The sequence below is a fragment of the Homo sapiens genome, chromosome 4, assembly GCF_000001405.40.
Source record: "Homo sapiens chromosome 4, GRCh38.p14 Primary Assembly".
Lineage (NCBI taxonomy): Eukaryota > Metazoa > Chordata > Mammalia > Primates > Hominidae > Homo > Homo sapiens.
The window spans coordinates 152,476,761-152,489,828 of NC_000004.12; the positions used below are offsets into that span (position 1 = coordinate 152,476,761).

A 13,068-nucleotide genomic window follows, 5' to 3' on the forward strand; every position below is an offset into this window, starting at 1 on the left:
CAATTTTCTATGAGACTCTCATGTTTCTGCACCTCTTAGGAGCAAGACACTCAACTACCCTTTTGGTCTGCACTATCCTTTTGAGGATACTTTTACAGCAATAGTGTTGGGAGACAAAGACAGTATCTTGCTCCAAAGCAAAGAAAGGCATTCTTACTTCCTATTATACACTACTATTCAGATTCTGTAAGAAGCTGAGGATTCCGCATCTGTTATGCAATCCACAGTGTGTACAAGCATCATGTAGCCCTCCTCTTCACACTACTATATGGGAACCAGGGCTTGGAAAAGCGGCAAAAAAAAAAAAAGGAAGCTAATACTCTGGTCACTGCTACTGCTTGCTGCACTAATAAACTGTCCTTCAACTCCAACTCAGGAGTCTCATATCTTTAACCACCATCCATAAAACTACAACTGAGTAACTGCTAGCTTGCAAGTAGGGTAAAATGTCAAGATTCTTCACAGTTCTTGACAATGGGACTCTAGTTCCAAAGGGGTAGGTCAATATTAGAAAAATATAAAAGTTCTAAGAAGGATCCAAATAAGGCCATTTGGAAAAGTATTAGCAGTCATCGGACCTATCATCTCTTACCAGAGTGACATACTTCTATTTTTGTGTGTTTCCTTCCACCCTCATTGAATACGTATTTTAACAACTATACGCATTTGGAAATCTTACAAAGCCAAACAATGAAAATGTCTCAATCCAATTGCAGCATCATCTAAAGAGAATCCGGTAGAAGTATTTAAAAGAGGAGACATTAAATTTGGGGGAAAAAATAGTAAACCCCAAAAAAACCCATAAATACTCAACCACTGCATATTTGTCATTTGAATTTTTCATATATCATCCCAGTATTTCCCAGTTTTGCTTCTTAACATTTTTGCATTTTTAGGATATTCTTAAATATGATCAGGTCAATAACCATCTACTGTGCTGAGTTACTTGTCCTTTTGAGCTCTTCTTTTTCTGTGTCCACAATCTAGGAAACATGACACCTTTTCCAGTTTGGTTTATTTCTATAGGGCCAAAAGCAGAAAGTGTTTTTTAATCTGCAAATTTAAATTGTTGACTCTGTATATCTTAATGTGAAACAGAAAGGACAATAAATAACATGATATGAGAGTATTGAGCTAAAATTCTTTACTGATACTCTTTTTCATTTATATAGCTGTAATATTTCAAAATGCATATAATTTTTAATACATTTTCAAAGAGGCAGCAATGAAACAACAAAATTTTATTAGTGAAAATATTTTTCACAAGTAACATCAAAATACAAACTTTTACTTTAAAAATATTTTTGTATCATAAAATATACATAAAATGTACTATTTTAGCCATTTTTAAATGGACAATTCAGTAGCATTGAGTACATTCAGAATGTTGTACAATTATCACCACTATTCATTTCCAGAACTTTTCATCATTCCAAATAGAAACTCTATACTCATTAAGCAAACTTCTCATTCCTCCCTCACCCTAGGCCTTAGTAACTTCTATTATACTTGCCAGCTTTATATATTTGCCAGCTTGGGGTATCTCATCTAAGTAGAATCATACAATATTTTCTGTCTAGCTTATTTCACTTAGCACAATGTTTTCAAGGTTTATCTATGTTGTACCATGTACCAAAATTTCATTTGTATTTATGGCTGAATAATATTCTACTATATGTATAAACACATTTGTCCATTCATCTGTTCACAGACATTTGGCCTTTTTCATCTTTTATTTAGTATGAGTAATGCTGCTATGAACACTGCTGTATAAGTTATCCAGTTTGTGTCCCTTCTTTCAATTCTTTTGGAGATAAGCCTAACAGTGAAATTGTTGGATGATACAATCATTCTACATCAAACTTTTTGAAGAACTGGTAAACTGTCTTTCATAGCAGCTGTACCATTTTACGTTCCCACCAGTAGTGCAGGCATGGTTCCAATTTTCTCCACATCCTTCCCAATCCTTGCTATTTTCTGTGTCTTTGCTAATAGCCAAATTGTATCTAAATGTGGTTTTGATTTGCATTTCTCTAATGACTACTGGTGTTGAGACTCTTCATATGTGTTTATTGGCCATTTTATATCTTCTTTGGAGAAATATCTGTTCAAGTCCTTTACCCATTTTTGAATTAGGTTTTTGTTTTGCTGTTGGGCATAGTACTTTTCTAAGGTTATAAAAAAATTACAGGCAATCTTGCTTTAATGAAATTAACTGAGTCAACTGTTATTCTCAGATTAAAGAACTAAAATAGGCTTAAAAGCAGTAATCTAATAAACGATAAACAAGGATGTAGTAGATGTGATTACACAGCTATGAAATAAAGCAGAATATGATGATAGTGAATGTCCTTCCAAGCAAGCTACTTTGGAAGACAGTTACACATAAGCTGAGCTTTCATCAATGGAGACGAACCTCCTAAGAGATGCAAATGACAAATATTTTATATTTACTGATTTTATCATAGACTATACTGAGTAGTGAAACATATCTTTTAAAACAAGTCTTACAAAGTAATAAAACCATTAAGACATCTAGTCAAAAAAAAGTAAAAATAAGGTAAGCTAGTATCTTGATGTTTTCTCAAGTGTCTCAAAGATATCTATTTTTAAGCCTTCAGGGTTGAGAGAGCAATCCAAGGGCAAATGAAAATTTATGTATAACATTTGCCTGTTAAATCTCTTTGGTCTCGCCTGTCCTAGAATAGTCTCTCGCACACACACATATCTTTTTCTTAAGACAATGATGTGTCAGGACTCATGGCCAGTTTTCTTACAGAATGTCCCACATCCTAGATTTGTCTGACTGCTTCCCAGAATGTATTCTGACTTACTCCACAACTTCCTGTATTTCTTGGAAACAAGATCAAGTCTAGAAACCTGACTGGATTGTAGATAAACATTAGGCAAGAATACACCCAAGGTTACATCATTCCGCATTATATCATAACAAAAGGAACATGGTATCAGGCTGTCCCATTATAAGTGTGACCACTTAGTTCAAGTGGCAATCTATAGATCTATTGCAAAGGCACATTTTCCCTTTGTAGTCGTACAAGATTTACAGAATAATTGGGCACCACTGCATACGTATCATGTTCACAGCACTCTTACACCTAAAGGTTTTGGCATCCATTGATGCTGTTGGCACAGATTGTTTCTTTGGAGTTTACAGTACAGTTTTCCAGTTCTAACACTGCTACTACAATTCTCTAAAGGAGGGCCTTCCTTTTCTTCTTATCTCTCTGGACTCATGGATTATTTTTTTCAATCAAAGGTTTTACAATTATAGGTATACCTCCTTGTACTGCATTTCATTTTATTGGACTTCAAACATATTGTGGATTTTACAAAATAATGGTTTGTGCAACCCTGCATTGGGCAAGTCTATTTGGTGCAATTTTTCAAATAGCATGTGCTCACTTTGTGTCTCAGTATCACATTTTAGTAATTCTCACAATATTTCAAACTTTATCATTATTATTGTATCTGTTATGGTGATCTGTGATCTTTGATGTTACTATTTTAACTGCTTTGGGCCACCACAAATCACAAACACAGAAGATGGCAAGCTTAACTGATAAATGTTGCATGTGTTCTGACTGCTCCAACCACCAGCCAATCCCTATCTCTCTCCCTCTCCTCAGACCTCCCTATTCCCTAAGACAAAACAACATTGAAATTTGTCCAATTAATAACCCCACAATGGCCTCTAAGTGTTGGAGTGAAAAGAAGAGTCACACATTACTCACTTTAAATCAAAAGTTGGAAATAATTAAGCTTAGTGAGGAAGGAATGATGAAGGCCAAGATAGGCCAAAAGCTAGGATTCTTGTGCCAGTTAACCAAGTTAAAAAAGGAAAAGAAAAGTTCTTGAAGGAAATTAAATGTGCTACTCCAGTGAACACATGAATAATAGGAACAAGAAAGAGCCTTACTGCTAATATGGACAAAGGTTTGGTGTTCTGCACAGAAGATCAAACCAGCCACAATATTCCCTTAAGCCAAAGCCTAATTCAGTGCAAAGTCCTCTCTTCAATTCTATGAAGGCTGAGAGAGGTGAAGAAGCTTCAGAAGAAAAGTTTGAAGCTAGCAGAGGTTATTTCATGAGGTTTAAGGAAAGAAGCTGTCTCCATAAAAGTACAAGATGAAGCAGCAAGTGCTGATGGAGAAGTTACAGCAAGTTATCTAGAAGATCTAACTAAGATCACTGATGAAGGTGGCTACACTAAACAACAGATTTTCAATTGAGATGAAATAACTCTCTACTGGAAGAAGAAGCCATGTAGTACTTTCCTAGCTAGAAACGATAAGTCAATACCTGGCTTCCAAACTTCAAAGGATAGGCTGACTCAGCATGTTAGGAGCCAATGCTACTGGTGACTTCCAAGTGGAACAATGATCACTTATCATTCCAAAAATTGTAGGGCCCTTAAGAAATAAGCTAAATCTACTCTGGCTTGTGCAGTACAAACAGAACAGAGCCTTGATGAAAGCACATCTATTTAACAACATGGTTTGCCGAATATTTTAAGTCCACTGTTGAGACTGTAGCTCAGAATAAAAGATTCCGTTCAAAATACTACTCATTGCTCACTGACATTGCTCATTGCACCTGGTCACCCAAGAGCTCTGATGGAGATATACCAGAAGACTCATGTTGTTTTCATGCCTGCTACCACCACATCCATTCAGCAGGCCATGGATTGAGAAGCCCTTTTGACTTTCAAATCTTATTATTTAAGAAATATATTTCATAAAGGTATAGCTGTCATAGATAGGAATTCCTCTGATAGATGTGGGCAAAGTAAATTGAAAGCCTTCTGGGAAGGATTCATCAATCTGGACGCCTTCAAAAACATTCATTATTCATGAGTGGAGATCAAAACACCAGCATTAACAGAACTCTGGAAGAAGTTGATCCCAACCCTCATGGATGTGAGGAGCTCAAGACTTCAGTGGAGGAAATCACTGCAGATGTGATAGAAATAGCAAGAGAACTAGAAGCAGAGCCTGATAACATGATTGAATTGCTGAAATCTCAAAATAAAATTTTAATGGCTGAGGTGTTGCTTCTTATAAAAAAGAGCAAAGAAAGTGATTTCTTTAGATGGAATCCACTTTTGGTGAAGATGCTGTGAACATCATTGAAATAATAACAAAGGATTTACAATATTACATACTTAGTTGACAAAGCAGCAGCAGGGTTTGAGAGAACTGCCCTCCAATTTTGAAGAATTTCTACTGTGGGTAAAACACTATTAAACAACATCACATTCTACAGAGAAATATTTCATCAAAGAATAATTGATGTAACAAACTTCATTGCTGTCTTATTTTTAAAAATTGTCACAGCCACCCCAACCTTCAGCAACTATCACCCTGACTGGCGAGCAGTCATCAACATCGAGTCAAGACCCTCCAGCAGGAAAAAGATTAGAACAACTCACTAAAAACTCAGTTGATCATTATTAGCAATTTTTAGCAATAAAGTATTTCTAAACTAAGGCATGTACATTTTTTAAACATGTTATTACACACTTAACAGACTACAATATTGTATAAACATAACTTATATGCACTAGGAAAACAAAAATGTGTGTGACTCACTTTATTGTAATATTTGTTTTATTGTGATGGTCTGGAACCGAATCCACAACATCTCCAAGATATGCCTGTGATTGCAATCATTATTTCGGAGGTGGCCACTAGAACTCCTTTGAGTTGGTTCTTTTTTACATAATTCCTCAGTTTTTCACCACTTCCTTGTTTTCTGGCTTGCTGTGTGTTTTCCTAAGAACTGGGATCATCTATTTTTCTAAGACATCTTGAATTCTTTCAATGGGGAGCCATATTTAGCAACCAAGATGCATGTAACCATTGCTACTGAGATTGTCCATGCTTCTTATATTTTCTGGTAGACAGAACAGGGTGGGGGGAGAGATATTTCTTTATTTACTCATGGATTCATACCAATATTTCCAATTAATCTGATGTAAAATATTTTTCTTAGTTCCTTTTATTCTATATTTGTCTTTATTCTCTTACAGTGATATATTTTAGTTCCTAATAATATTAATAGGTTAACTTAAAAGTCCCTATCCTATAAGATAAATAAAATAATTTTAAGTTTACCACAAACAATAGACCTACTGAGCTAAGTAAATGAGATCATACTACACAGATCATTCTATAGTTTCATGAATAATGTGGGATATTTTGCCATACCTGGTCACAAAGATCTTATTCTTTTTAATCAGCTTGCTAATATTCTAAAATACAGATGTACCATTTCCCTACTGGTGAACATTCAGATTATTCCAACTATTTTGTTGGAATATTATTATTTGGTATTATAAATAATGCTAAAATTAACATACTTGTACATATATCTTTATGCATATTTCTATGAAAACTAATTTGTGTACACTCTTTGAATTATTTGTACTTATTCATAACCCATTTTTTCAATTTTATTAATTTTTAGAAGGTCTTTATTATGTTTGTTAAAACTTTGCTATATGTTACAAATATTTTTCTACTAGATAGTCTGATCTTGTTAAAATGTTTTCTCTCACAGAATTCCATTGTAATAGAGTCAAATCTGTTTCCCTTTTTAGATATATGGCTCTTTATAGGGAAAAAAAAAAAAAGCTTTTTGAGGCTGGGCGTGGTGGCTAACACCTGTAATCCCAGCTCTTTGGGAGGCTGAGGTGAAGGATCACTTGAGCCCAGGAGTCCAAGACCAGCCTAGGGAACATGAAAAACCCAGTCTCTACAAAAAGTACAAAAATTAGTTGGAAACAGTGGCACACATAGTCCCAGCTACTCACAAGGCTAAGGTGGGAAGATTGCTTGAGCCTGGGAGGTCAAGGCTGCAATGAGCCATGATCATGCCACTGCACTCCAGCCTGGGCAACAAAGTGAGACCCTGTCTCCAAAAAACAAAAACAAAAAACAAAAAAAAACCCTTTCTGTGTTGTGTGTGTGTGTGCACACACACACTTGCATGTGTATACAATTTCCTTCTCAGTTTTTATTTATTTGGACCCTATTCCTGTATCACTAGAATGGTGTTTTAATTACTACACCACTACAGTATAGCAAGCAATACAGTACAATATAACAATACTGGTCTTTATTTTTAAATTTTACACTGGATAGTTTCATTAACATACTCTACAACATATATTTGACAATCAGATTGTCAAACTTCCCGAACTTCTCAAAAGATAAAACAGCTATTTTGACTAGAATTGCTATTAATTTTACAGACTAGAACTTTGAATAGAGTCTACATGCAACACTATTTGGTTTTTCATTCTGAAAAATAGCTCTCTCTTCATTTGTTTGATCCTAGAATGAAGTGTTGTTATTTTCTTCATACAAATCCTATTCATTTTTTAAAATTTATTACTACTTATTTTATGGTTTTACAGCCTTATGATTGGGTTCCAACATCCATTCTACATAAATTTCTAACAACTATGTATAGAGGATTTTTTTTTCTTAAAATGATAAATATCAAATATACAAAATGAAAAATCAAGATTCTTATTAAAGAAAAAGTAACCATCAGCCTTTGCCTTTAAAAGAGATTATAGATAAAGCAAGAATATGACCCTTTTTGCAGTTCAAATGCACAGTATCTACTTGAGGGGAAAAAGAGAAGCTCAGATATGGCAAAGTGCACCATTTTTTATAATTACTTGGCTACACATACAAGGGGAAAAAGGGACAAGTAAACATACTAACAATATTGTAAAAGCTCCACAAAAAGGGAAAATCAACTGCAGAACAACTTACATGTGGCACATTATTCATATAAAATAAATCCACTCACATGGTAATTTTTTAAATTATTAAATGCTCAGACACAAATTTTCCTCAGAACACAACATTTATGCAAAGGAATATATAGAATGGGTACGGTAGCTCATGCCTGTAATCCCAGCACTTTGGGAGGCCAAGGTGGGTGGATCACCTGAGGTCAGGAGTTCGAGACCAGCCTGGCCAACATGGCGAAACCCTGTCTCTACTAAAAATACAAAAATTAACCAGCCATGGTGGCAAGCACCTGTAATCCCAGCTACTTGGGAAGCTGAGGCAGGAGAATCACTTGAACCTGGGAGACAGAAGCTGCAGTGAGCTGAGATCGCGCCACTGCACTCTAGTGTGGGTGACAGAGCGAGACTCTGTCTCAAAAAAAAAAAAAAAAAGTATAAAGCCCAATTAAATGGATGAAGAAAAGAAAACATGAATTCTAGTTAACAAAATTAAACATAGTAATGACAACAAAAATACCAAAAAGACTGGGAAACTATAAGAGCTAAGACCAACATTCTAAATATCTAGAGAAAGGAAGATTTTTGTATTAGTAAAAATAACTTTTTAAAAAAGAGTAAAAGAAAAACATATATAACATAAAACAACAGTAAATACAACATATCAGTTAGATTAAACATACTAGTTATGTCAAGATAAGTAAATAGGCTTAACCTTCCTATTAGAAAAAGTTTCAAATTGCCTATGTGAAAAATATAATTAAAATAACTATAAGCATAGCGATCTGACTATATACCTTCACTGGGCTATACGCTATAAATAAAAAACTGCATAGAAATCTTAAACTTTATTGAGATTATTATTAGTAGTGGTATTGCTATAGTAATTCCAATGTTATATCATGTATAAGACAGAGCAAATGAATAAACATATATTGATGTTATTGGTAAACTGGATCTTCATTATGGAAGAGGAATATGAAACAAGGAAAGAAAAGAACCTTGGTGTCACTAGGAATTCAAATATCACTAGTTTTTAAAAGTATATTTTCTTATTCTGTCTAATGAAAAGAACCAATAGAAGCAATGACACCCAGTAATGCATCCATGATGTTGGCTTCCAAATACCATTCCCCACTAAGAGAAACAAGAACTTTTGGTAAAATAGCCAAGTCCAGGTCTGGGGTAAGAAAACCATAAGGTAAGGAGAGAATGTTTTGTTGTGCCACAAAGCAAACTGGTGCTATAAAAATGAGGGGGCATGTCAAAGAAACAGAAACCAGACTGATTGAGTTCTCGCTGGCTAAATTTTAACAATTTGAGTCACCAAAGGATACACAGTCATGCGTCACATAACCACAGGGATATCTTCTGAGAAATGTGTTTGTTAGGCTATTCCCTCACTGTGCTAACATCACAGAGTGTATTTACACAAGCCTACACGGTATAGCCCATTGCTCCTAGGCTACAAACCTGTATACCATATTACTGTACTGAATACTGCCTGGTAACTGTAACATGGTGCGTCTGAGAATATCTAGACATAGAAAAGGTACAGTAAAAATACAGTATAAAAGATTTTTTAAAATCATATGCCTATATAGGGCACTTACTATGAATGGAGCTTACAGGACTGGAAGCTGCTCTGGGTGAGTTAATGATTGAGTGAAGAGTGAATGTGAAGGCCTAGGTCGTTACTGCACACGGCTGTAGGCTTTGTAAATATACACTCAAACCACACTACATCTATTTTTAAACATTTTCTTTCTTCAATAATAAACCTTAGCTCATATAAACTTTTTAGTTTTTAAACTTTTCTGACTTTTGTAATAACATTTAGCGTAAAACTAACATATTGTACAGCTGCACAAAAATATTTTCTTTCCTTTTATCTTTATTTTACAAGCCTTTTCTATTTTAAAAAATTCCTGTTTTACTTTTAAAACTGTTTTGCTAAAACCTAAGACACAAACAAACACATTAGACTAGCCCTACACAGGGTCAGGATCATCAGTATCACTGTCTTCCACCTCCACATACTGTCTCACTGGAAGGTCTTCAGGGACAATAACATGCACAGAGCTGTCATCTCCTATAATAACAATGTCTCTGGAGTACGTCCTGAAGGAACTGCCTGAGGCTGTTTTGCAGTTAACTTTTTTTTTTAATAAGTAGAAGTACATTCAAAATAACAACAAAAAGTATAGCATAGTAAATACATAAACCGTTAACATAGCTGTTTATTATTATTATCAAGTATTATGTACTGTACACAATTATATGTGCTATACTTTTAGACTGGCAGCACAGTAGATTTGACTTACACTAACATCACTACAAACATGTAATATGTTGGTTGTGACGTTAGTCCTAACATGTTATAACAGCTACAACGTCACTATGCGATAGAAATTTTTCAGCTCCATTATAATCTCATGGGATCAATGTCGTATATGCAGTGCATGACTACATAACAATAATGGATTTTAGTTCACCGAATTAATGAAGAAACCATGAGCCCTTAGTGAAAGGACAGAAACTCCTTTACAGAAAGAAGAATGCCAGCTAATAAATGTGGAAAGAATAATAGATGTAGAAAATCATTTTGCAAGCATCAATGTAACCAATAATTCAGGCATAAATCAATAATGGATGTTAAAAACACTGGGTGAAAGGCTGTTGAGAAACAATGTTTACTCAGTCTCAAGGCATTACCCCACAGATTAATGATTAATTATCAAGGGGAAAAGGATACTTTTACAATAGAGAAATCAGGTCACACCACCTTAACCAAGTAATCAAACTAAACATCATAAATAATGGACCAAACTAATAATTCAGAGGATAAAATAAACAAACTTTAAGTACATACAAATATCAACATGAATAAATCTTGATGTAAATAAACACTGAGTGAAAAAAGCAAGTTAAAAAGTTATGCCAACAGTATATTATTATTCACATTTTAAAAGGAAATCAGTACTGTTTATCTTTTTATACAAATATGTGGTAAAAAGTATTGAAAACTTACAGGATACCTTTAGAAAAGTAATTACCTCTGAGAAGAGAGGCAAAAGAATGAGATTAGTAATCTTCAATTATATTTTTAATTTATTTTAAAAAGTTCTGAAACAGTGATAGCAAAAAGTTAACATTTGTTAAATTTTGGCAGTACAGATACATAAGCATCTTATATTCTTCCTTGTATTTTTTATATTTTGAAGTATCATTTAAAATTGTTAAATTTAAAATGGACTGCTGCTACATAATTTTCAGTTTTAATAGCTATACAATACTTAGTTCTGTAATTCTTGCTGTTTAAAACAACCGTTTTGAAGAACTTTGATTTAGAAGGTCACCAGTGGTTCCTATTTTAATCTTTAATGTAAATTAACAGAAGCAAATTGGCACTTCCAAAATGATTCTAATAAGCAAAATGCATTCCATTTAAACAAATAAAAAATAATGTTAAAAGTATGCCATCCAAGTGGCATTACATCTCCAGTTTAATACTTCCTGTATCTCATATTGCTTTTAAAACTGAACATTCTTTGGAGAATTGAAAGTTTGACTATTTTAATAATTTGCTTTTGTCAATCACTTTGACTAACTCTACAAAATCATCCTATTAAAGTTATTATTTTAAATATCAATTAATAGGTCTATAAAAAACCTACTGTTATAAGACTGGTGCATAAAAAAATATAAATTTTTCAAGTGATTTAGCAGTAATTTAGTTCTTCATCATGTTCCTTAAAAGGCTTTAATCTATAATCTATTTGTAAAAACTTTCTATTTTCTCCTTAAGAGAAGGTCAACGGCTTTCACTTCACTTGTCTAACATAATCATGAATTGAAATAAGAACTCTCAGCTCTTTGGAACGACAATGCTACCAGTATGCCTAGGCCAATAAAGCGATTCGTTCATTAATGCTGCTAATAAAGCAACCTTTTGTTAGTCTATGAAACATCAGAAACCTTACAGACTCTAACTTTGCAATTTTTCCCTGTTTTGCCACATGAACTTAAAAGTTCTCTTACATGCCATTTACTTTAATAACTAAAACACTATCATTCAAAAATTCAATCTTCCACTCTAGGTAAGTTAATAACTTAAAAAATATTCGCTCCAACTGCAGAAATTTCTAGATGAAATTATGTTTTAATTAATTATTCTCTTGTGTTTTCCCATAAAAACCAATCTGTATAGAAGTCTGTGCTATCTTCTATTAAACAACTAAAGGAACTACCCATATAATATTCTCAAAAAGAAAAGCATAAATGTTCATTTATTCAATTAGCACCAATCAACTACAGTAAGCAAGGCAAAGAAAATACAGCAAAGATTAATACACAATTCCTGCCCTCAAGCAACTCAATTTAGGGAGTAAGCCAGGTATCTGTAAAAATTACTGTAAGGTAGTTTATAATATTAACTACTAAATATAATAGTATAAAGAATATAATTAACAGAGCTTAGACAGGATTTTTTAAAACCTTCCATGAGACTTTTGAGGCTAAATAGAGAATAGTCTATTTTAGGTAAATAAACAGCACGTATAGAAACACAGATGCATCAAACACCAAGGTAAATTCAGAAATTCTTAATTCTGTAAGGCTCAAGGGTATCATGTATGTAAGGAATTATTAGGAAATGTCTGTCAGTTCACAAAGGGCCATGTTTGTGTTGCCCTCGAATTTGAACTTTATTCTAGGCAATTGGCAGTAATTAAAAGGCTATAAGAAGTAGTGTATGGTGCTCAGTTCTGTTTTTTAGAAAAGTCACTCCTGAACTACCTGAATTCCCAAAAGCTCTTATTTTCAATAACTTCAGAATACATAAAGCTTTTGGTAATTCAGGTACCTCAAGAGGACATAAATGGTAGGCTTCCAAGCCTACCAAGACATTCATACTCAGTATAACTATATACCTACTCTATACTGCTAACTTAAGTTTAGCATTTTCTAAACTAACTGTCACTTAAAGAGAAAAATCAATACATGAAATATTGGTTCTAATATTAGTCAACTATTTTTAAACCTCTTCAAAGTATTGGGAAAATATCAGTTTCCAGGAATTATAAAGTCATGTTATTGATACATTTTAAGAGTTGCAGTTAAAGTCAACAGGATGTGTTTAGAATTTATAAAATTAATCTTAAAATTTAGCCCACTGTAATCCTTACTGTGAACATCCCTGGAACTGAAACCTGGCACCCTTATCTTCTTCTGAGCACTGTCTTTTATGCTTACTACCCTCCCCTCAATACCACCCCCATGCCTAC

At 33.7% G+C, this 13,068-nt stretch overlaps 1 protein-coding gene and 1 non-coding gene across 14 annotated transcripts in view, besides 1 other annotated feature; both read right to left on the reverse strand.

Moving 5' to 3' along the window:
• The window catches only part of FBXW7 (F-box and WD repeat domain containing 7), a 215,549-nt gene that overhangs the window by 156,217 nt on the left and 46,264 nt on the right, over positions 1–13,068 (reverse strand). For 2 of the 13 annotated variants that reach the window (XM_047415897.1, XM_047415898.1), the window contains one exon: positions 5,610–5,913. The exons of the other annotated variants lie outside the window; for them this stretch is intronic. The gene's annotated coding sequence lies outside the window, so the exon portion shown is untranslated. The remainder of the gene's footprint in view (positions 1–5,609; positions 5,914–13,068) is intronic. 13 annotated transcript variants of the gene reach the window in all.
• Positions 9,216–9,485: an enhancer, noted in NCBI's record as "active region_22031". NCBI's record gives its function as "activates an Ori minimal core promoter by ATAC-STARR-seq in GM12878 lymphoblastoid cells {active_cell/tissue: GM12878}" and the evidence as "EXISTENCE:reporter gene assay evidence [ECO:0000049][PMID:35858748]".
• Positions 12,567–12,656, reverse strand: MIR3140 (microRNA 3140). The gene has a single exon (NR_036092.1). It is a non-coding gene; the product is annotated as a microRNA 3140 (primary transcript).